Consider the following 24562-nt stretch of genomic DNA (forward strand, 5'->3'; position numbering starts at 1 on the left):
TGACCTTGGCAATGGGCCTTCAGCAGGGCTCCAGGTCTTCTTGGCTGGGAAGGACCCAAGATCAGTCAACTCTCCTAGGGCTACTCCTAGGTCACTGGTGAGCACCTCACCACCCCGGACCACACTGATCCCACTCTGCCTTCTCTCTTCAAGGTCCTGTCTCAGGCAGAGAGGAAGGCACAGCACAGTGGGGCCGAGCTCCTCCCTGCAGCTGTGCCTTGGCCGACACTGGGGTGCAGCCACTGTGCTGCGGGAAGGAATCAGGCTGTGCCTCCTCTGGGGGCAGGGACGACAAGGGCCAGGGAGGGCAGACCTACATGCAGAACCACCAGCACCGGCGTCTGCACGGCCGGGGAGCCACAGAGGGTCAGCACGAACCGCACGGTGCTCCAGACCCTGAGGCCGATGAAGATGAGCGGGATGAGCACCAGCTTCTTGTCCGCCATGGAGGAGTGGCGCAGCAGGCGGTGCTCCTGGGAGAGGATGGGCCGGTACTCAGAGAGTGCCGTGTGCTGTGTGGGGACAGCGAGGGCAGACTTGAGTGGATAGGCACCCTCCCGCCACGTCCACCCAGGCTGCCCAGGTCTTCCCAGGGACTTGAACTAGCTCAGGGAGGTAGGGGAGATGTGTGGTGGAGCCCGGATCCTTCTCCTGAACCCTGACTGCTAGATCCTCTGCCCAGTCCCCACCTCCACATGGAGGTCTCAAAGTCATCTGAAACAGCTCACATCCAAGACAGAAGATGGATCTTGACCCCTGAGGCCAATGCTCCCTTCCCAGTCTCAGCTCATGGAAACAACAGCTTTCTCGTTGCCCAGGCCAAAGCCTTGGGGCTCTGTTTTGACCCCTTTCTTTGTCCCATAGCCCACATCCGATCCCCAGCAAGTCCTGCAGCCCTCTTTTTTTGTTTAAAATAGATGCAGGGTCTCCCTATGTTGCCCAGGCTGATCTCAAACTCTTGAACTCAAGCAATCCTCCTGCCTCGGCCTCTCAAAGTGCTGGGATTACAGGCATGAGCTGCCACCGTGCCGACCTCTAACTTCAAAACAGATCCAGACTCTGGGTACTTCTGCCACCTTCTGCCACTGCCCCCGTGTCCAGGCCACGTCACCACGTCTCTGGATGGGCTCCCTCCTCCGCCTCTGCCACCCCCTCCTGCTCCCCCCTACAGTCCATTCTCAACACAGAAGCAGCAGGGCTGCTTGAAAACCCGAGTCTGCTCCAGTGAGTCCTCCACTCGGAGCTCTTCAGCGCTCCCCACTCCACATGCTCCTTACGGTCGCAGCGGGGCCAACCCTTATGGTCACAGTGGGGCCAACCCTGAAGCCACACCGACCTCCTTGTTATGCTGCAGACACGCAGCACCCCCGCCCCAGGGCTCCGCACTGGCTGCTCCCTTGCTCTGGAATGCCCGTCTCCATCTGTCCCCAGGGCTCCCCCCGGCCCTCTTCAAGACTTTGCTCAAGCAGCACCTTCTGGATAAGGCCCGACACCCCTATTTAAACTGCACAGAGGCCGGGTGCAAAGGCTCATGCCTGGAATCCCAGCACTTTGGGAGGCCGAGGTGGGTAGATTGCTTGAAGTCAGGAGTTCGAGACCAGACTGGCCAACATGGTGAAACCCCATCTGTACTAAAAATACAAAAATTAGCTGGTTGTTGTGGCACGTGCCTGTAATCCCAGCTACTTGGGAGGCTGAGGCAGGAGAATCGCTTGAACCTGGGAGATGGAGGTTGCAGTGAGCCAAGATCGCGCCACTGCACTCCAGCCTGGGCAACAGCAAAACTCCAGCTCAAAAATAAATAAGTAAATAAATAAATACATAAATAACTGCACGTGCACTTCCTAGACAGTCCCATCCTCACGTTCCGCTTTTTATTTTAGTCTGTTTCCCACAGTTTGTCTCACCCTCAGTCCCACGATGTTATTCACCCTTGTTCCTTGGGCTTATTGCTTATCATCGTCCTCCCCTCCAGAATGCAAGCCCCCTCCCTGCACAGGGAGGGCCTGCTGTACCCCCAGCCCACCCACCTCCTCTCCAGAAGGAGAACAAAAACGTGAGCTCGAGCCAGACTTGGCTTTCCTCCTGGGAATGTCTTTCATGAGAGGAAGGAGGAGATTCCTTCCAGATCAAAGCTGAATTTGTAAAAATAGATGAAACTGCTCATGATGAACACGTGATTTTTTTTGGCCAGGAGTGGTGGCTCATGCCTGAAATTGCAGCACTTTGGGAGGTCAAGGCAGGAGGATCGCTTGAGCCCAGAAATTTGAGAGTAACCTGGGCAACAGAGTGAGACACTGTCTCTACAAAAAATTTAAAAATTAGCTGGGCATTGGCCAGGAGCAGTGGCTCATGCCTGTAGTCCCAGCACTTTGGGAGGCTGAGGCGGGCAGATTACTTGAGGCCAGGTGTTCAAAACCAGCCTGGCCAACATGGTGAAACCCCGACTCTACTAAAAATACAAAATTAGGCTAGGCGCGGGCACAGTGGCTCATGCCTGTAATCCCAGCACTTTGAGAGGCTAAGATGGTCTGGATCACTTGAGGCCAGGAGTTCAAGACCAGGCTGGCCAAAATGGTGAAACCTGTCTCTACTAAAAATACAAAAAAATTATCGAGGCATGGTGGCGCACACCTGTGGTTCCAGCTACTTGGGAGGCTGAGGCATGAGAATTGCTTGAACCCGGGAGGCAGAGGTTACAGTGAGCTCAGATTTGCCATTATACTCCAACCTGGGCAACAGAGCAAGACTCTGCCTTAAAAACAAAAACAAAATTAGCCAGGTGTGGTGGCACACACCTGTAGTCCCAGCTACTCAGGAGACTGAGGTGGAAGTTGCAGTGAGCCAGAGGTGGAAGTTGCAGTGAGCCAAGATTGAGCCACTGCACTCCAGCCTGGGCAACACAGTGAGACGCTGCCTCTAAAACAAAAAATGCATTTTTGAGCCAGTCCTGTGCCTGGGATGCTGACGGCCCAGGGGAGGGGAGACGCCCAAGGTATTCTGCCAGCACCTGGTGTCTTGTGGAGTCACTGCTGCATCGTGGTATCTCTCAGCCCCCAATCTTCTGCAACTAACCTGCTCAGAGCCGCCCTCCTCCTCCTCCTCCTCCTCCAGCTCACCGATTCTTGGCTCATTCCTAGCTAGAGGCAACTAGCACATTCTCAGCTCCCTGCCCACTTCGATCCCGTTTTTCTGAAACACTTGCTGATTTGGAAAAGAGGACCCATTGTCACCCGTAAGGGTCAGCCTCAGCCCCGCAGGCTTCCTGCCCTGCCAAAGGAAAGGCAGAAAGAAAGACACACAAAGGGCATCTGTAGAGGAGAGTCCTGGGCAGGGCCTGGCGGAGTGCCTGGGATACTTCATCAGGGGTCCCGGAAACTTTCCAGGGCAGTGGAAAAGAAGAGGAGGTGAGAAGGGCATCCATCACCTGGGCAGGAGACCAACTACTAATAAAAGTCTAGAAGAAGACAAAAGATCATTTCATTTTTTCTTTTTTTTGAGACAGGGTCTCACTCTGTCACCCAGGCTGGAATACAGTGAACTCCCAGGCTCAAGTGATCCTCCTGCCTCACTGTCTCAGCCTCTCAAGTAGCTGGGACTATAGACATGCACCAGCACACCAGCTAATTTTTTTTTTGAGAAGGAGTCTCTCTGTCACCCAGGCTGGAGTGCAGTGGCGCGATCTCAGCTCACTGCAAGCTCCGCCTCCCGGGTTCACACCATTCTCCTACCTCAGCCTCCTGAGTAGCTGGGACTACAGGTGCCCACCACCACGCTCAGCTAATTTTTTGTATTTTTCATAGAGACAGAGTTTCACCGTGTTGGTCTCGATCTCCCGACCTCGTGATCTGCACACCTCGGCCTCCCAAAGTTCTGGGATTACAGGCGTGAGCCACCGCACCCGGCCCTAATTTTTTTTTTTTTTTTTTTTTGAGATGGAGTCTTGCTCTGTGGCCCAGGCTAGAGTACAATGGTGCAATCTCGGCTCACTGCAACCTCTGCCTCCTGGGTTCAAGTGATTCTCCTGCCTCAGCCTCCTCAGTAGCTGGGATTCTAGGCACCTGCCACCACGCCCAGCTAATTTTTGTATTTTTATTAGAAACGGGGTTTCACCATGTTGGCCAGGCTGGTCTTGAACTCCTGACCTCAGGTGATCTACCTGCCTCGGCCTCCCAAAGTGCTGGGATTACAGGCATGAGTCACCATGCCCAGCCTTAATTTTAATTTTTATTTATTTTTTTTGAGGTGCAGTCTTGCTCTGTCGCCCAGGCTGGAATGCAGTGGCGTAATCTTGGCTCACCGCAACCTCCATCTCTTGGGTTCAAGTGATTCTCCTGCTTCAGTCTCCCGAGTAGCTGGGACTACAGGTGTGTGCCACCACATCCAGCTAATTTTTGTTATTTTTGGTAGAGACAGGGTTTCACTGTGTTGGCCACACTGGTCTGGAACTCCTGACCTCAAGTGATCCACCCACCTCGGCCCCCCAAACTGCTGGGATTATGGGCATGAGCTACTGCACCCAGTCCAAAAAGAAGATTTCAGACCAATGGGAAGTCCCACAGCCATCTCCAGCAAGGACTCCACCTGAGGCAGAAGTGGGGTCTAGGGCGGGTGAGAACTGGTTACATTTCCAAGCAAAAAGAAAAGAGAAAACTAAAGGTCTTGACGCGAGAAGACACAACGGGAGTGGAGGGTGGGGATTAGGTGTCCAGATGGCCACAGCTGCAAGGTGCCTCCTGACTCAGAAATGGCTGCTGGGTAGACAGAATGGCCTACAAGATGGGTACACACCCTCCTACAATTTCAGCCCTGAAAACTCAGAGGGCAAATAGAAACACAGGGACTCACTCCAGCAAGCCTGCAGGATGAGCCCGGAAGTCTAAATTCAGAGCATTTCCTCTGGACCTATCTTACTGCCCCAGCCACTCCTCACATTGAATCTTTGCCTGTAGTTACTTGCACTTCTGCCTCTCTCCAGGAGGGCAGGATCCATGTCTGAGTCCTCAAGATGAACTCCCATGCTATACAGCACTCTGGTGCTAGGAGATGCTCGGTAAAAACATACTGAATGAGGCCGGGCGCGGTGGCTCACGCCTGTAATCCCAGCATTTTGGGAGTCCGAGGTGGGCGGATCACTTGAGGTCAAGAGTTCCAGACCAGCCTGGCCAACATGGTGAAACCCTGCCTCTACTAAAAGAACAAAAATTAGCTGGGCGTGGCGGCACGTGCCTATAATCCCAGCTACTCGGGAGACTGAGGTAGGAGAACCACTTGAACCTGGGAGGCAGAGGTTGCAGTGAGCCGAGATTGTGCCACTGCACTCCAACCTGGGCGACAGAGCAAGACCCTGTCTCAAAAATAAATAAATAAATAAAACTAAAATAACATACAGAATGAGTGACCGAGTGGATCAAAGAATGGGTTAATCTGTGGCCTTTTGCAGGCGTTTGCTTGTGGCCAGGAGGAAGCCCCTAGTTCCACATGTGCAGACTGGGAGGCAGGAACAAGGAGGAACTGGGCCAAGGTGTCAGAGGAAAGCCATTCTTTCGTAGGCTCTCCAGCCAGCCCAGCCTACTCATTTCTGAATTCTGGAAACCCCTGCCATTTAGGATATAATAAATCACTAGGAAAAGTTAGGTGAGTTATTTGCGTCACTGATTGTGAAATTCCACAGTCTTCCCTTCCCCTGGGGCAGCCCGGCCTTGGGTCTGTCCTCACCTTTTAGCTAAATTCCTCAAGTTTAAGCAGCCACCACAGGCCGTCCACCAGGGGGCAGGAGAGGGCCATGACCAAGGACACAGCAGCCCTGTCTGCAGCAGCCCTGTGCCCCCACAGGCCCTTAATCGGCTAAGCCTCGTTTCCTTATCTACAAAGGAGTAACAGGACCCGGCTCCTAACGGGGCAGTGGGAACCAATGCACGATCCGTGTAACACAGCGTGTTGCATGGTGTCTGGTGCACAGTAAGTGCCTGGTCCCCTCTGGCCCATCACTGGTTCTGTCCCCAGAGACGCAACCTGTCCCCTCGGGGGGCCAAACTCAATGCCAGGCCTTGCACCTGGGCACAGCGGCCATGCAGAGGGCCCTGAGCTCTAAGGGCAGCGCCTACCGCTCTGTTGATGTGCTTCCGGACCAGGAGGTACAGCAGAGGCAGCAGCACATATGCCAGCATCTCCCACAGCTTCCCCGTCAGCAGCATCCACAGGACATGGTCCTTGGCCTCCAGGTCGATCCAGCACCAGCCCACAGACACGTCCGAGGCGTCATAGCCAATCTTCTTCAGGGCGACGGCTGCCACAGTGATGACCAACGGGACCCCCCAGCTGAGGAAGGAGGAGAGAAAGAGGCATCGGGGTCAGGCCATGGCTCCCGGCAATGTCAGCCTTCGCAAAAATGACGGAGGACGCCCTTCAGAAAGGGGATGCTCTCCAGAGCCTGGATGGCACAGTGGCCCTGGAAAATAAGAAGGGGTAGGTGTTGCCCTGGGAGCCTGGCTCTACTTTAGAATTCTTCGGGGACTGGCATTAGAATGGAGTGACGTGGGACAGCCAGCTCCCAGCGTGTGCCCAGCTCCTTTTGCATACATGTGTGTACAGAGTTCGAGACCAGGCTGGCCAACATGGTGAAACCCTGTCTCTACCAGAAATACAAAAATTAGCTGGGCGTGGTGGTGCACACCTGTAATCTCAGCTACTTGGGAGGCTGAGGCAGGAGAATCATTTGAACCCAGGAGGTGGAGGTTGCAGTGAGCTGAGATTGTGCCATTGCGTTCCCGCCTGGGTGACAGAGTGAGACTCCATCTCAAAAAAAGAAAAAAGAAGAGTTTTGTATACATGTGTGTACAGAGCACAGGGCCAGGCAGGTGTGTGTTTGCTGCTGTCGTGACTGTTGTGAGTCACGTCCTGCTGTCCCAGGTTTCAGGCCTGTGGTGCAGACAGTGGTACTGCGTGAGGCCTGTCTGGTTTCTGTTCCAGGAAGCCTTGGGCACCAGCGTGCGAACACCTGTCCATGCTCGTGCAAATGTGCCACAAACAATCAGCGCCCCCTGGTCAGCCCTTGGGTCTAGGAGTGCACACACTGGGGGCTTAGGGTTGCCTGGGCAGGGAATTCCAGGGTTCTGCTTACCTTCGGCAGGCTCTAGGAGGGGGAACGTGGGCTTTGGGCAGTGTGTCCCTTTGGCCTTGAGGACTTCTTACACAATGGCGGGGAACAGAACCTGGCAAGGGTCAACGGGGACCTTTGAAAACATAAAGCTCAGGTAGGGGCCCCTCTAAGGGCAGTGTTGGGCTCAGTTTTCTTTTTTTGAGACGGAGTCTCGCTCTGTCACCCAGGCTGGAGTGCAGTGGCACAATCTCAGCTCATTGCAACCTCCACCTCCTGGGTTCAAGCGATTCTCCTGCCTCAGCCTCCTAAGTAGCTGAGATTACAGGCGTGCACCACCACGCCCGGCTAATTTTTGTATTTCTAGTAGAGACAGGGTTTCACCATGTTGGCCAGCCTGGTCTTGAACTCCCGACCTCAGGTGATCCACCTGCCTCAGCCTCCCAAAGTGCTGGGATTATAGGCCTGAGCCACCATGTCCAGCCCAGGCTCAGTTTTCTAGAGCGCTCTCCCACAGCCAGCCACACAGCCAGGAGTAGGCCCCTTCCCTGTGGTCCTTGAACCAGTCTGTTCCTTACATAGCAATGGAGCACACAAAGGCTATAGTGGCTCCTGAGAGAGGCAGGTAGTGGGGTAGTTAAGAGCTTGGATTTTAGTGTAGTGGGCTTGGATTTTAGTGCAGCGGGCTGGATCCAAGTCCCACTTCTGCCCCTGCTTGGGCAAGTTATTTAGCCTCAACATGCCAGGTTCTCTGCAAAGTGTGGATGACGACAGTGACTACAGGGTGTCATTGTCGGGTCGTTATGAGAACAAATACATGTGTGTACAGAGCACAGGGCCAGGCAGGTGTGTGAGTGTTTGCTGCTGTCGTGACTGTTGTGAGTCACGTCCTGCTGTCCCAGGGTTCAGGCCTGTGGTGCAGACACTGGTGCTGCGTGGGGCCCGTCTGGTTTCTGTCCTGGGAAGAAGACACAAGTACCCCTGTCCTAGGTCAGGTGCCTGGAGCGCAAAGCCTTAGGTAAACAGGAATGATACTATGATAACTGTGAGATCAGAGTTCAACATGAATCTGAGGCCAGAATGAGGCCAGGAGAACTGTGCTTCAAGGGTTTCTCCCAAATGCTGCAGGGCTGGCAGAGCAGGCCAGGCAGGGATGAGGATGGAAGGGAAAAGTCAGTTCCCTGGGACTGGGAAGGCCTCATGCAGGATGCTTCCAGAACAGAGGGGCCCTGGCCAACCATCCCCTCTGCAGCATTCTCCAGTCCCCACTGGCCTCTGTAGGGAAGGGCAGGAGGGCTGATGGCAGAGTCACATCACCCTCAGTGGCCTCGGTGGCAGGAGGCAGCATGTCCTGTTGGAAGTCACAAAGACACAGGAGCAAAAAGACCACAAAAGGCCAGGCGCGGTGGCTCATGCCTGTAATCCCAACACTTTGGGAGGCCAAGGTGGGCAGAACACTTGGGGTCAGGAGTTTGAGACCAGCCTGGCCAACATAGTGAAACCCCATCTCTACTAAAAGTACAAAAATTGGTGGGCGTGGTGGTGCATGCCTGTAATCCCAGCTACTTGGGAGCCTGAGGCAGGAGAATCGCTTGAACCTGGGAGGCAGAGGTTGCGGTGAGCCGAGATCACGCCACTGCACTCCAGCCTGGGTGACAGAGCAAGACCCTGTCTCAAAAAAAAAACCAAACACACACACACACACACACACACACACACACACACACACACACCACCCATAAAAGAAAGGGTTGTTTTAAAACTCATGACAGGCCAGGCGAGGTGGCTCACGCCCGAATCCCAGGACTTTTGGGACTTTGGGAGGCCAAGACAGGTGGACCACCTGAGGTCAGGAGTTCGAGACCAGCCTGGCCAACATGGTGAAACTCCGTCTCTACCAAAAATACAAAAATTAGCCAGGTGTGGTAGTGCGTCCCTGTAATCCCATCTTAGTGGGAGGCTGAGGCGGGAGAATCCCCTGAATCCAGGAGGTGGAGCTTGCAGTGAGCTGAGATTGCGCCACTGAACTCCAGCCTGGGTGACGAAGTGAGACTGTCTCAAAAAAAAAAAAAAAAAAAGTAATCGGCTCTTCAAGTGCCACCACGCCAATCCTCTAGTCATAATGTGCTGTTCCTCGTTACTTTACAGTTGCAGGATTCCGCTAAGGAATTCTGGGAAGGAGGTGAGCACTGTATGTAGGAACAGTCCCCCTGCAGGAGGCTGGTCTGGAGCTGGGGGTCACTCAAATAGGGGATTCCCCTCTGAGTTGGGCCTGGGAGGGTCACGGTCGGCACAGCACTCCTTTGGGCTCCCTCTGCATCCCGACGGGCCCTCATGGGAAACCGGGGGACCACACGGAACCGCACTCTGTAACTTTAGGGTTGCAGTACTAAAGCTACAAGGCGGTAGATTTCTTCTGTGATACTGAGTTTGTGCTGGGAAATAACCAAAGGGAAGGTCAAATAGGCAGAGGGTTTTGAAAGGGTTAAGAATGTGGGTTTAAATTAGCCAGGCGTGGCAGTACACACCTGTAATCCCAGCTACTCAGGAGGCTGAGGCAGGAGAATCATCTGAACCTGAGAGGCAGAGGTTGCAGTGAGCCAAGATTGTGCCACTGCACTTCAGCCTGGGTGACAGAGCGAGACTCCGTCTCAAAAAAAAAAAAAAAAAAAAAAGAATAAAAGAATATGGGCCTGATCAACAGGGAGGGGTTGTTTGAACACACAGAAGGAGCAGCTGTGTGAGGGCCAGAAGCTGCCAGAGGGTGGTATTTGAGAGAGAGGAGGTAAGAGGTAGAATCAGGGAGCCGGTGGAAATGGAGAGGGTGGAATGGTCCACTGATCCTGCAAAGCGGGCTGAGCCAGACTGACTCATGTACAGGCATGGACAGTGGTGTGTTGGGAACATTTCACAACTGGCTCTCCAGAAAAACATAGACGTGTGCATGTGTGCATGTATGCATGTTTACACACACACACATATAAATGTATAAATTTCACCTGCAGGATGTGAAGCATACAATTTATAAATAATAATAAAGTATACAATAATAATACTCCTTCTTTATTGTCCATTTCATGCAGCCAATTGATTCTCACAGAATGCTTTTGTTGATTTCAGCCAAACCCTGGATTTTGCCAACCTGTGGATGCAATCAGCAAATGAGAGCGCTCCGTGGCATGAAGTTAATTGATGCTTTCATTTCCCTTAACGGGATGAAAATGAAGTAAGGAAGACATAGAAAACAAGACATATGTTGGTTGCTCATGTCACTGGTTGGTGACATGAGCAACTTCTTTGCTGAATCAGGTACGAGTTTTCTTCCCCCCACACTGGGAGACTGTTTCCTCAATTTGTTTCTGCTCCATGATCCTGTCTCTTCTCCTTACCTCTTTTTTACATACTGGGTTTTCTGCCTGCCCCAACACAGCTGCCATCTCTTCTTAAGCTCAGAGATAAGTAACACTTAAGTTTAATCTATACCTTTAATGTCTTCTCCATTACTTTCTTAAGTCTAGATCAGGGGTCCAGCAAACTGTGGCTCTCAGGCCAAATCTGGCCCACAGTTTTTTTTTTTTTTTAGATAAAGTTTTATTGCAACACAGGCACACCTAGTCATTTACAGATTGTCTACCGCTGCTTTCAGGCAGAGTTGAGCAGTTACAACTGAGACTGCCTGGTCCACAAAGCTGAAAACACTTACTTTACAGGAAAACTTTGCTGATCTCTGCTCTACACAATCAACAAAGCAATAAATCAAGCCTTGATTTGTAGTCTTTGCCAACTTCCATGTGTAAATACTTCCACCATGGCCAATTTCCAGCCACCAACACATGTGGCTGGGAACAGATGCACATAGCACACCATTATATATATATTATATTATATATATATATAATATAATTATATATATTATATATATAATATAATTATATATATAATTATATATATATTACATATAATATAATTATATATATAATTATATATATATTATATATAATATAATTATATATAAATTATATATAAATTATATATATTATATTATATATAATATATATAAATTATATATAATTTATATATAATTATATATAAATTATATATATATATATTTTTTCACCACAGAGATATGATAGACACAACAACCTCAAGCATGTAAAGAGCAAAATAGCTATGACACGATGAGCTTTGAGTATTTATGGCTTTTTTTTTTTATTTTATTATTCCCAGCACTTTGAGAGGCCGAGGCGGGCGGATCATGAGGTCAGGAGTTTGAGACCAGCCTGACCAACATGGTGAAACCCCGTCTCTACTAAAAATACAAAAAAATTATCTGGGCATAGTGGCACGTGCCTGTAATCCCAGCTACTCAGGAGGCTAAGGCAGGAGAATTGATTGTTGATTGAACCGGGGAGGTGGCAGTGAGCCAAGATCGTGCCACTGCACTCCAGCCTGGGTGACAGAGGAAAAAAAAAAAAAAAGCATTATTATTTTAGAGACAGGGTCTTGCTCTGTTGCCCAGACTGGAGTGCAGTGGCATAGTCATGGCTCACTGCAGCCTCCAAATCTCGGACTCAAGTAATCCTCTCACCTCAACCTCCTGAGTAGGGGGTACTACAGACACATGCTACCATGCCCGGCTTATTTTTTGCTTTTTGTAGAGACAAAGGCTTGCTTTATTGCCCAGGCTGGTCTTGAACTCCTGGCTTCAAGTTATCTTCTCGCCCTGGCCTCTCAAAGTGCTGGGATTACAGACAAGAGCCGCCATGCCCAGTCTATTATTTTTCAAAATGGGATCTCACTATGTTTTCTCAAGTGATCCTCCCGTCTCAGCCTCCCAAGGAGCTAGGACTACAGGCAGGAGCCCCATGCCCAGCTCTGTTTTTAATATAATCTAGTTTTTAATACTGGTCGTATCTAACAATCAGCTCACAAAATTCCCTAAAATGGAACAATCGGGTCTCTCAAGCTGGCTCCAGGACACTAGCAGACATAGGATAAAAACGATAAGGAGATGACAGTGCCCCAGGTTCCTGACTACAGGGTAAGGAGAAAGTTGGTGTATCTGGAACTCTCAGAAGGATAAACAGGGCAGTTCTCCAGCCAGGGGGCCACCCTGAGCTGCAGGTAGTCTAAATCTGATAGGTGCTCCACAAACACATGTGTGGCATAAATCCTGCTTTCTAGAAATGCGTATTGCAGTTCTGACATGTAGCTGGGCACGGTGGCTCACGCCTGTAATCCCAGCACTTTGGGAGGCCGAGGTGGGCAGATCACCTGAAGTCAGAAGTTTGAGACCAGCCTCGCCAACATGGCGAAACCCCATCTCTACTAAAAATACAAAAAAATTAGCCGGACGTGGTGGTGGGCACCTGTAATCCCAGCTACTGGGGAGGCTGAGGCAGGAGAATCACTTGAACCCGGGAGGTGGAGGTTGCAGTAAACTGAGATCGCGCCACTGTACTCCAGCCTGGGCGACAGAGTGGGACTCCGTCTCAAAAAAAAGCAAAACAAACAAACAAACAAAAAACACAAAAAAACAAAAAAAACCCCCACAGTTCTGACATGTAACACCTAACAGTTTTTCCCCCCTTCATACGGGAAGCCACCACCCCAAAAAAATAAAGCCAGAACAAGTAACACAGGGCTTAATAACTGCACATATGAAAAAGACCAAGGGATTTGGTTGATTACAACCTAGAAATTCATGTGGTTGGAGGGGTCATCCTGCTGCTCAGATGTGGGTGGCTCAGAACAGCCAATGGCTGGTGCTGTCTGCCTGTGAGTGGACATCTGCAGCTCACATTCTAAACCTGAGACTGACAAGCTGGCGCCAGTGCCAGGTCACCTGAGGAGCATGTAAAGAGACGCTGGGCCTTGAGCTATCCTCAAATGGTTAAAAAGTCTTGAAGAGGACCTGGTGGTGGAGAAGTGGTTAGATGCCGGAGGAATGGGCGGGGTCCTGCCCAGTCCTAAATCTGGGGGCTGAATAGGCAGCTTCCACTGAGAGAAGGTGAGTGCTCATGTTCAGGGGGTGCCATGACAGGTGCTGGGTGGGGGTGCAAGGTGGGGATGTGGGTTAGAGCAGGTGACCCATAAGGCCCCTCCTGTCTAAACCTGTGACTCTGAGGCTGGGAGGAGGCCAAGCTGAGCCTGCCTGGACGGAGGAAGCCCGGGACAGCCACCTCGTGTGTAACTCTGATTGGCAGGGGCACCACAAGCTTCTCCCAGAGGTACCTGGGCCCCAGTTCCAACTTGTATTTGCCTAGAAATGAAAGCCAGACTCCAAGTCGGCTTCCTTCCCACTCAGAGGCCGTTAAGGGTTCAATTGTGTCCCCTACAAATTTCATCTGTTGAAGTCCTAATCCCCAGAACCTCAGAATGTGAGTGTATTTGAGAGATAGGGTCTTTCAAGAGGTGATTAAGTTAAAATGCAGTCATCAGAGTGGAACCTAACCTAACAACCTCTGTGGTCATAACTTAAGAGGAAAGGCTGGGCATGGTGGCTCACACCTGTAATCCCAGCACTCTGGGAGGCCAAAGGATCACTTGAACCCAGGAGAGTTTGAGACCAGCCTGGGCAACAAAGTGAGACCCTGTCTCTACAAAAAAATACATAAATTAGCCAGGCGTGGTGGCACACACCTGAAGTCCCAGCTACCCAGGAGGCTGAGGCGGGAGAACCGCTTGAACCCAGGAGGTTGAGGCTGCAGTGAGCCGTGACTGTGCCACTGCACTCTAGCCTGGGTGAGAGTGAGACCCTGCCTTTTTTTTTTTTTTTTTTTGAGATGGAATCTCACTGTGTCTCCCAGGCTGGAGTGCACTGGCGTGATCTTGGCTCATGGCAAACCTCCGCCTCCCAGGTTCAAGCGATTCTTCTGCCTCAGCCTCCCAAATAGCTGGGATCACAGGCATCCACCATTACACCCAGCTAATTTTTGTATTTTTAGTAGAGACGGGGTTTCACCATGTTGGCCAGACTGGTCTTGAACTCCTGACCTCAGGTGATCCGCCCACCTCGGCCTCCCAAAGTGCTGGGATTACAGACGTGAACCACAATGACCGGCCAAGACTCTGTCTTCAAAAAAACAAACAACAACAAAAACAAGAAGTGATGAGCACACAGATCTTTACAAAGGGAAGATCAAGTGAAGACGCAGGGAGAAGATGGCCATATACATGTCAAGGAGAGAGGCCTCAGGAAGAACCAGTCCTGCCCTCACCTGGACCTTGCACTTCAGCCTCCAAAACTGTGAGAAAATAAATTTCTGTTGTCTAAGCCCCCAGGCTGTGGTACTTTGTTAGGGCAGCCTGAGGCTTTCTACAGACTAGGCGGGAGAGACATGTGTCCTGGCAGGCGGTACTATCCCAGCTCCTAGGGCCCCCAATCTCAGAGGTCAGGGATGACTTGGAAACTCCCTACCCCCACAATGCCCAGATTGGCAAAGCTGGGCCGGGACCCTCCACCAGCTCATGGAGGAGAAAATGACAAAAAGCCATTCATACTTGTCAGGAGCTTAGCCCTTTTTGGAACTCAACACCTTTTAAGTGTCCTCCAGAGAAAGGAAGTGGAAGTACTGCCGGGGATTAGCCAAGCAGTGAATAAACCATCTGCGAGACCTGAATTCCCCTGCGTGGTGTCGTGGTGTCGGTCAGATGACCACAGGCAGGCCACTTGTCCCCAGGACAGCAATGCTCTCGGTTTCCCTGCCCTTCAGAGCGGGTCCTTGGGAGTTCCCAGCGCTGCCCAACCGGGGATCTTCTGTTGTGTGGTTCCTGGAACCTGTCCCCACCAGAGTCAGGGTGGGGGCACCTGCAGACAGGGAGACACACCTCCACTTCACACACAAATGGACAGTTATATTGAAAAGCAGCCCACTGGTTTTCAAAGACCCTTAGGATGCCATCCCTGCTGCCAGGAAGGGGTCAGAGGTTAGACTGAAGGGGGCTCAAGGCAGAGTCTGCTCAATCACCTGCCCCCACCCTGGGATTCCTGTACCTTTTCCCCACCCCAAACTTCATCCTTCCTACAGATCTCTGGGGGCTGGCACCTGCCAGGAGGAAAACAAGCAGGTCCCTTCTCTGGGCCAAACACAATGCCTGGTGTAGGTACCATGAGACCTGGGGATGTTAACATAACTCAGAAAACGCTTTGAGAACCAAACTCTTGTGCAACAATATGCCAATTTAAAAACCTCAGGACAGAGCAGGGCTGGGGGAAGCCCAGCTGTAGGGAGTGAGGCCTGGTGAGAGGCTGCCTGGAGGTTTCTTCCCTGGGAACAATGGACACTTATTGTCCAGCTCCAGCGGCAGAAGGGTCAGGACTTGGGAGAAGTTCAGGGAGTCAGCCCCTAGGCCAGGCTACCACGAGGTCACTCTGCAGCTTTAACTGCAGAAGGGGAGAGGAATGTCTAAAGGAACTCGCAGATGCACACTCATGCCCTAGTGCCACCGTCTGTAGCCCTCAGCTCAGGGATGGGCAGCCTGAGTTCTCACACCTCCTGCCAAGTTGCTGGTGCTCAGCGCTCTGCCATGAGCTTCCTGCTGCACACAGGGACACAGCGCTGCCACCTTCACCAGTCACCTCAGAAAACTTTTATGGGGAAATAAACGAAACCAGTTCAATGATTGATATTTTCAGGAGTAGTGGCCGACATGGGGTACTATTCATGTGGCCACTGCATCCATCCCTCATTCAGATGCCACTGCCTGGGGAGACGGGCCAGCTCTGCCACTGGCTTGTCCTTGCAGTGCCACGGTGAGCTCGTTTCAAATTAGAGAACTCAGGCCAGGTGCGGTGGCTCACGCCTGTAATCCCAGCACTTTGGGAGGGCGAGGTGGCTGGATCACATGAGGTCAGGAGTTCGAGACCAGCCTGGCCAACATGGTAAAATCCCGTCTTTACTAAAAATACAAAATTAGCCGGGAGTGGTGGCGCACGCCTGTGATCCCAGCTACTTGGGAGGCTGAGGCAGGAGAATCGCTTGAACCTGGGAGATAGAGGCTGTACTGAGTAGAGATCACACCACTGCACTCCAGCCTGGGTGACAGAGCCAGACTCTGTCTCAAAAAAACAAAACAAAACAAAACAGGCCAGGTGTGGTGGCTCATACCTGTAATCCCAGAACTTAGGGAGGCCGAGGCAGGTGGATCATTTGAGGTCAGGAGTTTGAGACCAGCCTGGCCAACAGGGTAAAACACCGTCTCTACTAAAAATACAAAAAAATTAGCCAGACGTGGTGGTGTACGCCTGTATTCCCAGCTACATGGGAGGCTGAGGCAGGAGAATGGCTTGAACCCAGGAAGTGGAAGCTGCAGTGAGCCGAGATTGCGCCACTTCACTCCAGCCTGGGTGACAGAGCTAGACTCCATCTCAAAACAAACAAACAAAAAACAAATTAGAGAACTCTGACAACCTTCCAGCTCCAGGCCCAGGTTTCCCCTTTTTGCTACGTTGGGACTTCCCACTGCCCCCAGAGCAGGGTTTTTATGGCAAACATGGGGGGTCACAGACTCTTGCTTCCTCTGTAACCCTAGAGGGTGGATGAACGTGTGTGTGAGAGGCACGGGGGCTAGACCCTGCTGGAGTCATACCCACACCTGCCCCCAGCTCAGCGGGGCCAGAAGAAACTCAGAGATTCCCGAGATGAACCGGCTCGGCCAGGACGCTTCCTTCTGACCCCCAAATGAGCTGTCCCGACCCTTTAGCAGCCCCCCTATGCTCACAGGCCATACAGCTGATGCCTGGCCCCATGGAGGTCCTGGTGGAGGGGGTGGTCACCTCACCCCTGCTGACCCTGGTCTGGCATCACGCTGGCGCCCACCACCGTGAGGGGAGGAAGGGCTGCGCCACTCTTGGAAAGGCAGGTCCCCTTATGTGGGAGGTGGGGAAATGACCCCCTCCACAGCAGCTCTGGCCTCCCTCAGGTGGGCGTGGTAAACACACAGCCACTCAGGCACACCACATGAAAGTCAAAGACAAGGACGTCTGTGGGAGCCGCCTCACCAGCTAAGACAGAGTAGAAAGGGACTTCTTAAACACAGGGACTTCCCCTGAACATTGAGTATCTCACACAACCTTAAAAAAGCAACTGCCACCAAAAAATTCAAAATGCTGTCAGAATCAGTGGACACGAAACGCTTGGGTGAAAGCTGGAGACGTGATAGGCTTTCGAGCCACCGTTGTCTCTCAGCAAGACACTTCTTAACTACAAAAGGGAAAAGAGTTAACTTGCAGTGCAGGAACTTGGCAGATATCACCTTAGCCCAGTGATGAGAGTTAACATCACCAGTAAGGGAATATGTCCAAGTTGCTGGCCACCAGGTAGAAAGCAATGAGAAAAACATGTTTCTGGGATATCCTGCCAAACATGCACAACCTGAACCCACTTATGAGGAAGCACCAGACAAACCCAAATTGAGAGGCTTTCTATAAAATACCGGGACTGTACTCTTCAAAAATGTCAGTATCATAAAACACCAAGAAAGGTGGGAGAACTGTTTCAGATGGAAGGAGAATAAAGATATATGAAAATTAAGTCAACATACAAGCCAAGATTTTCCTTTGCTATCAGGGACACTGTTAGTCCACGGACAAAAATCTCAATAAAGGCCAGCTGCGGTGGCTCACACCTGTAATCCCAGCACTTTGGGAGGCTGAGGTGGGTGGATCACTTGAGGTCAGGAGTTTGAGATCAGCCTGAGCAACACGGTGAAACCCCATCTCTACTAAAAATACCAAATTAGCCAGGCATGGTGGCGCATGCCTGTCATCCCAGCTACTTGGAAGGCTGAGGCAGGAGAGTCACTTGAACACGGGAGGTGGAGGTTGCAGTGAGCCGAGAGATCGCACCATTGTACCCCAGCCTGGGCAACAAGAGTGAAACTGTCTTGGGTGGGAAAAAAAAAAAATATATATATATATATATAAATAAAATTTATATATATATTTATTAAAATATATATTTAAATATATATTAATTTAAATATATATTTAAATATATATATTTAAATATATATTTAAATTAATATATATTTAATTTAAATATATATTAAAATATATATATTTAATTTAAATATATATATTTAATTTAAATATATATTTAAATTAAATATATATATTTAATTTAAATATATATTTAATTTAAATACATATTAAAATATATATATTTAATTTAAATACATATTAAAATATATATTTAATTTAAATATATATTTTAAAAATATATAAATTATATATTCAAAATATATATTTAATTTAAATATATATTTAAATATATCTAATTTAAATATATATTTAAATATATTTTAAATATATATTTAATATTAATGTATATTTAATATATATTTAAAATTAAATATATTTTAAATATACATTAATATTAAATATATATTAAATATATATTTAATATTAAATATATATTTAATATATATTTAATTTTAAATATGTATTTATATATAATTTTAAATATATATTTAATATTATATATTTAATATTATATATATTTAATATTAAATATATATTTAATATTATATATATATAATATTAAATATATATACAAATATTTAATTTTAATTGTTTTGAGATAGGGTCTTGCTCTGTCACCCAGGCTGGAGTACAATGGCACAATCTCAGCTCACTGCAACCTCTGCCTCCTGGGCTTAAGTGATCCTCTCATCTCAGCCTCCTGAGGAGCTGGGACTGCAGCCGCACACCACCACACTCGGCTAATTTTTTAAATTTTTTGTAGAGACAGGATTTTGCCATGTTGCCCAGGCTGGTCTCAAACTCCTGGGCTCAAGTAATCCATCCACCTCAGCCTCCCAAACTGCTGGGACTACTGGCGTGAGCCACTGTGCCCAACCTAAAAATAAATTATTGTTGAAATTGTATCTCAGTTTTTAAAACCTGTTACAGCCAAAAGACAACATAGACTCCTAAAAGGAGTCTTGGACTGGGTCAGAAGTAGATTCTAACTCTGAGCCTCTCCTTTACTGAAGGGAGACTCCCTGAAACTATTGGTATGGCATAAAAGATGAAATGCTCCTGATTATTGTAAATACAAAATTGCATGCAGGATTGTGTAAAGACAATGCCAGGTTGGACTGCCAGAATGAGCCAACAGCGCGTGATGTGCTTCCCCCTGCAGAGAGCCTATGAATGGACGTGCAGTCAGGGAGGTTTCACATCACCAAGATTCCTATCCCAGAAAAGCAGATGTTCATAGCTCTGGGAATGGAATGCGACCCTTGTGGAGAGCCTATAAACGGACTCATGGGGTGTGCCTGTCCATATGGACAACATAGGGCTATAAACGCCCTCACCTATAAACACCCCACGGCTCTTCTAGGCCTCTTTAGGGTTATGGCATACTCCCTTCTGAGAATTTCTGGTCTAACTGGTTGTCTAGCTTCACCTCCCGTTGCTATGGATTGTTTGTAACCAGCTTTTGCTGCAACTGTTACTGCTGATTAATATCTTGCTAATCATAGGTTATGGAAAGACTGTATTTCTGTTTTAAGGCTCTGTTAGAAATTACTGATGCACACACTATATTGTAAATTCTTATCCCTGTATACTGTACTTCTGCATACAGATGTTATGTTAAAGAATTACTTCATCACCATGTGACCGTCTCACCTCATAATCAAATGACCCTAAATCCCTCACTAACCTACCCCCGCCCTCACTAAACTTAATAATAAATGCTGGTATATCCAGTGCATTGTTGGCACCGCGGGCGACCCCCCTGTTGGACCCAGCTTTCACTATCTTGTGTGTGTCTATTATTTCTTGACCTGCCGATCTGCCTGGGAACAAAGAGAGAGCCCCATTGCATTGCCGGCTGCTGGCCAGATCCCACAATACCTTACTAGCTATGTAGCCCTGGGCCATCACATCTGCTATGAGGGTAATCACCCCACCCATCCATTCTGTTGGGTTACTTTTTTTTTCTTTTTCTTTTTTTTTGAGACAGGTCTCACTCTGTCACTCCGGCTGGAATGCAGTGGTGGTCTCGGCTCACTGCAGCCTCAACCTCCTGGGCTGAAGTGATCCTCCTGCCTCAGCCTCCCAAAGTGCTGGGATTACAGGTGTGAGCTACCACTCCTGGCCCTGTTGGGTTATTGGTGATTAGTGAGCTAATGAATGGAACAGCACTCTGCAAACATCAGGGGCCAGACACAGCTCATGCTGAAATGTGATTTCCTGAGGATGAGGTCTAAACTGCCCTCCTCTCTCTGTAAAGGGGGCCACGCAGGTGCTCTCCTGGGAACTTGTGCACGTGCAGGATTCTCTCTAACCTCCTGCCTTTATGTGGCTGTAATCAGTGTTAGCGATGGTTTCTGTCACTTCGCATTGAATCATATCATTTAAAAAAATGACTTACAGAATTCAAAACCAGTATCAAAGAGCTGCATACCATTTCAGAAGGGGAGGGTAGACTCTTAACTTCCTGTTCCCCCACTGTTGGACCTTGAGGTCACTTCCAAATTCTCACCATAAGTGCCTCACAAACACCTTCGTACATACAGCTTTGTACATATTTTAGATTATCTCATTAGACTAGGCTTTGGTAAATAGGATTATTGGATCAAGGGGTATGAACCAAATACTTTCTACAAAGACTATTTCAATTCACACCATCAATAATACTGTAGAAAAATGCCAGTGAAACTCGCATTTATCATGTTTGTATTCTGCCTTTTTTTTTTTTTTTGATATGGAGACTTGCTCTATCACCCAGGCTGGAGTGCAGTGGCGCGATCGTGGCTCACTGCAACCTCCACTTCCCAGGTTCAAGCGAGTCTCCTGCCTCAGCTTCCTGAGTAGTTGGGACACGCACCACCACACCCAGCTAATTTTTGTAATTTTAGTAGAGACGCGGTTTTGCCATGTTGGCCAGGCTGGTCTCAAACTCCTGACCTCAAGTGATCCGCCCACCTTGGCCTCCCAAAGTGCTGGGATTTACAGGCATGAGCCACCGTGCCCAACTCTGCCTTACTATTTTTTTCCTTCAAATTAAATGAGGAAATGGTACCTTACTGTTATAACTTGTATTGCTTTGCATATTAATGGTATATGACATATTTTTTCAACTGCTGTTACTATTTTGCTTGAGTATGTCCTTTGTCCATTTTTCAGGATATTTGTGGGTTTAAAACAATTCAATTCCTAAACGCACATTAGAATAAGGATGTCAACCTTCTGTGTTGTCGTATTTTAAAATACTTTCTAAAACTGAAAGCTTTGAAGAGGACTGAATTCCAGTAGTATGAAATGGTTAAAAAGTGGATAATCATGTAGTCTATGCCTGAAGGTGATATTTCTCACATCAATAGATCCTGCAAACAATAAACTAATATTCCAAAGAAATACACTGGAGAGTCCTTAGTAAGGTCATTGGCAATACAGTCTGGGAAGATCTAGGTTAACAGATGAACCTGTTAGGCAGGTTTAACCAATTCCCTTAGACTAGCGAAGTCTGAGTGCTGAGAACTCCAGAGAATAAATTGTCAAACTCCCTCTCTAGCTTGGATACAGATAATTTTATTTTCTTTTAAGATGCAGGCAGGTCACATTCAACAGACAAGATGAATACGTTGCTTGTTTTTTCTTTTCTTTTTCCTTCATTTTTTAAAAATTTTTTTCTTTTTTTTTTGAGAGAGGGTGTTGCTCTGTCTGCAATCATAGCTCACTACAGCCTCGACCTCCCAGGCTCAAGCGATCCTCCCACCTCAGCCTCACAAGTAGCTGGAACTACAGGCATGCGCCACCATGCCCAGCTAATTTTTAAATTTTTAGTAGAGACAAAGCCTCACTGTGTTGGCCAGTTGAACTCCTGGGCTCAAGCGATGCTCCTGCCTCGGCCTCCCAAAGTGCTGGGATTACGGGTACAAGCCACCACACTGGGCCTACTTCTTTATCAAAGAAGCCCTTCCTGAACAACACAGAAACCCCCCTAGAGGGTCCGTAATGAGAACCGAACAGAAAAACCCCCAACTCAGGTTTGCTGGGCAATCCTTCTTTTCCACAGAAGCTGGACCAGGTTCTGTTACCATTAAAAAAATACTGTATTCAATATTTTTAAAGACAAGAAGGGAAAGAGAACAGGTTCTTGCAAAGAGAGGTACAGCCTCGACTCCTTCCAAGTACACACGATCTCCCGTGTACTCGGGGCCCACACCCAGCCAGCCATCACGGGACCCAGACAGGGTCAGATGGGATGCTGCCGGGAAGGCAAGGCAAGGCAGGGCCCTATTCCATCTGCAGCATCTGAGCCTCGGTTTGGATGATGTGTTGCAAAGATTTTTTACTTGTACAGCTGAGAAGCAGGTCACTTAGTTTCTCAAGGACCAGCCGGCCTCAGTGCACAACTGAAGGTCAAGCGACTCTTACAGCCCTGTAGCCTTGCCGTGTGACACCCAGGTGACCTGTCTCTGCCAAAGTGCTGACTGTGCTCGCAGTCCTTGGAATGCACTTAAGTTTTTAATAGAAAGGACCTATAATTAGGGCAGTATCTGATGCTCTGATCTGGGAGAAGGAGAAAAGGAAAACAGCCCCTAGGATTCCTGCCCTCAGTTCAGCACAGCACAGGACGCCATGAGATTTTCAAAACCTGACATTCCCCAGGGAAGGGCCGACCCTCTTCAGCGAGGCTTACTTGAAAGACGCTTGAATCGCAAAGTAAGGTCTTGGCTTTTCCCCACTCTCAGAGAGACTCCAGGAGGACTCCGAGACTCCCAGACCAGCCCTCCGCCCCTGCCCTCAATCTCAGAATTGCTGAACTCTGGAAAGTCAAGATCATCTAGAACAGAAATACAAGGGGCTGGGGCCTGAGGCTAGAAACGACCAAAGACAGAATAAAAAGCACAGTCCTTTGTAAACTGTACAGCAGAGACACGGCAGCTCGGGAGTGGCGGAGTGCACCAAGCTCACTGTGGCTTGGGGTGGGGTGGTGGCGTGGGACTGGCAGTTGCCGGCTCTCCAGCCCGGGACAGTTACCTAACTCGTCTCCCAGCCTGTTTCCCCATGGGCAGCAGAGACAGCCAGGACACAGTGAAGCAGGTCACAAGGGGCTCAGAGTGTCCTCCCCAGCCCCGTCCAAGGAAACAGGGCCCGGCTCTGGGGGCGAACTCTGTCCCCACTACCCCAAGGGGCTGTGCCCTGGGGCAGGCACAGCGGGGCTCCTTCGGGAGGGAGCGAATCTCGGGCAAGGCTGGCCTCCTCCCGCTGGCCCAGGACAGCCTCGGGGGCGCCAGCAGGCACTGCTTGCTGTGGGTAGGGGGTGTCCAACCTAGACGCGGCCTCTGGGAGGGCAAGACCGGGAGGGGTCGGCCTGTGTCGGGGGCTCCTGGAAAAGCAGCGCCACCGCCACCCACCTGACGACATGGAAGGCCCAAAGCAGGCGATCTGTGCGAGGCCCGCGCGCGGCGCGGACGATGCTGAGGTACAAGTAGAGCGCAATGGCCACGGTCCAGAAGAAGGAGCTGGTGTTGGCGAAGGTGGACAGCGCGCCCTGCAGCACGCAGTCCCACGACGGGCCCGCGAAGTTCTGCAGCACTCCGTAGAAGTAGGAGGCGGCCGAGAGCAGGTCGGCCAGCGACAGGAAGAGCAGCAGGCGCCGTGCCCGGCTGCGCAGGTCGGGCCACAGGGCGTGCGTGGCCACCAGCAGGCCCGAGCCGAGCGCGGAGAGTGCGCACGACAGCAGCACCACGGCGCGCTCCGACGGCACCAGCTCGGTGGGCGGCGGGGACGGCTGCATGGCGTGGGGGGCCAGGAGCCGGAGCGCCGCGAGGACAGAAGCCGGGCCGCGCGTGCGGCCACGCCGCCGCCGTCTGGGCACCGAGGCGCCCTAGGCTCGCGTCCAGGCGCCCGCCCCGCCCGCGTCCGGCCGCTCCCCCGCCCATCTGGGCCCCGGGCCCTGAACCCCGTCCACGCCCTGCGCCCCGCCCCTATATCCCGGGCCCTGAGCCCCGCCCACGCGCCGCGCCCCACCCCGGTACCCCGGCCTTTAAGCCCCGCCTACACTCCCAGCCCCGTCCCGCCGTCCCAGGCCCTGAGCCCCGCCCACAATCCGAGCCCCGGACACACGTCCCCCGGCCCACATGCCCTTCCCGCCCACACGCCCCCCCCCCGCCCGTGTGCCCCCGCGTTGAGACTGGGACTTAGAGCTCCGCCCACGCGCCCCGATCCCCTGTCCACAGGGCCCAGAGACCTGGGCCTAGAGCCTAACCCACGCGCCCCGCTCCGCCCACGCACCCCGCCACACCCCTGTGTTCCGGGCCCTGACCCTGGCTCAGGTGCCCTTCCTCGTCCCGTTGCCCCGGGCCCTGAGCCCCGCCCCCGCCACGCCCCTGAGGCTTCCAAGCTCCACCCGGTGCCCGAGGCTCCTGAGCCCCGCCCACGCCCTCACACCACGCCCCTAAGCCCCTAGGTCCCTAAGCCCTACCTCAGGGCACCCCCAG

The 24562-nt window shown here is 50.5% G+C and overlaps 1 protein-coding gene across 4 annotated transcripts in view, besides 6 other annotated features; it reads right to left on the reverse strand.

Moving 5' to 3' along the window:
• The window catches only part of GPR157 (G protein-coupled receptor 157), a 28798-nt gene extending 4864 nt beyond the window's left edge, over window positions 1-23934 (reverse strand). For 2 of the 4 annotated variants that reach the window (XR_007063977.1, NM_024980.5), the window contains exons 1-3: window positions 23477-23934; window positions 6108-6321; window positions 318-512 (exon numbers count right to left, since the gene is read on the reverse strand). Coding sequence is in view for 3 of the 4 variants with exons in the window: in NM_024980.5 (NP_079256.4) it covers window positions 318-512; window positions 6108-6321; window positions 23477-23859 (792 nt within the window). In the remaining variant the exon portion in view is untranslated. The remainder of the gene's footprint in view (window positions 1-317; window positions 513-6107; window positions 6322-23476) is intronic. The other 2 variants (XM_005263496.6, XM_005263497.6) reach the window with 2 other exon arrangements.
• Window positions 5521-5570: an enhancer, noted in NCBI's record as "active region_114". NCBI's record gives its function as "activates an Ori minimal core promoter by ATAC-STARR-seq in GM12878 lymphoblastoid cells {active_cell/tissue: GM12878}" and the evidence as "EXISTENCE:reporter gene assay evidence [ECO:0000049][PMID:35858748]".
• Window positions 10468-10668: a silencer, noted in NCBI's record as "peak53 fragment used in MPRA reporter construct". NCBI's record gives its function as "represses an SCP1 promoter by STARR-seq MPRAs in K562 erythroleukemia cells {active_cell/tissue: K562}" and the evidence as "EXISTENCE:reporter gene assay evidence [ECO:0000049][PMID:32103011]".
• Window positions 16453-16953: an enhancer, noted in NCBI's record as "H3K4me1 hESC enhancer chr1:9181680-9182180 (GRCh37/hg19 assembly coordinates)". NCBI's record gives its function as "activates a minimal SCP1, AML or CMV promoter by ChIP-STARR-seq in naive H9 embryonic stem cells {active_cell/tissue: H9 hESC(naive)}" and the evidence as "EXISTENCE:reporter gene assay evidence [ECO:0000049][PMID:30033119]".
• Window positions 16954-17454: an enhancer, noted in NCBI's record as "H3K4me1 hESC enhancer chr1:9182181-9182681 (GRCh37/hg19 assembly coordinates)". NCBI's record gives its function as "activates a minimal SCP1, AML or CMV promoter by ChIP-STARR-seq in naive H9 embryonic stem cells {active_cell/tissue: H9 hESC(naive)}" and the evidence as "EXISTENCE:reporter gene assay evidence [ECO:0000049][PMID:30033119]".
• Window positions 23791-24140: a silencer, noted in NCBI's record as "silent region_208". NCBI's record gives its function as "represses an Ori minimal core promoter by ATAC-STARR-seq in GM12878 lymphoblastoid cells {active_cell/tissue: GM12878}" and the evidence as "EXISTENCE:reporter gene assay evidence [ECO:0000049][PMID:35858748]".
• Window positions 24201-24520: a silencer, noted in NCBI's record as "silent region_209". NCBI's record gives its function as "represses an Ori minimal core promoter by ATAC-STARR-seq in GM12878 lymphoblastoid cells {active_cell/tissue: GM12878}" and the evidence as "EXISTENCE:reporter gene assay evidence [ECO:0000049][PMID:35858748]".

The sequence above is a fragment of the Homo sapiens genome, chromosome 1 (assembly GCF_000001405.40).
Source record: "Homo sapiens chromosome 1, GRCh38.p14 Primary Assembly".
NCBI classification, from domain to species: domain Eukaryota; kingdom Metazoa; phylum Chordata; class Mammalia; order Primates; family Hominidae; genus Homo; species Homo sapiens.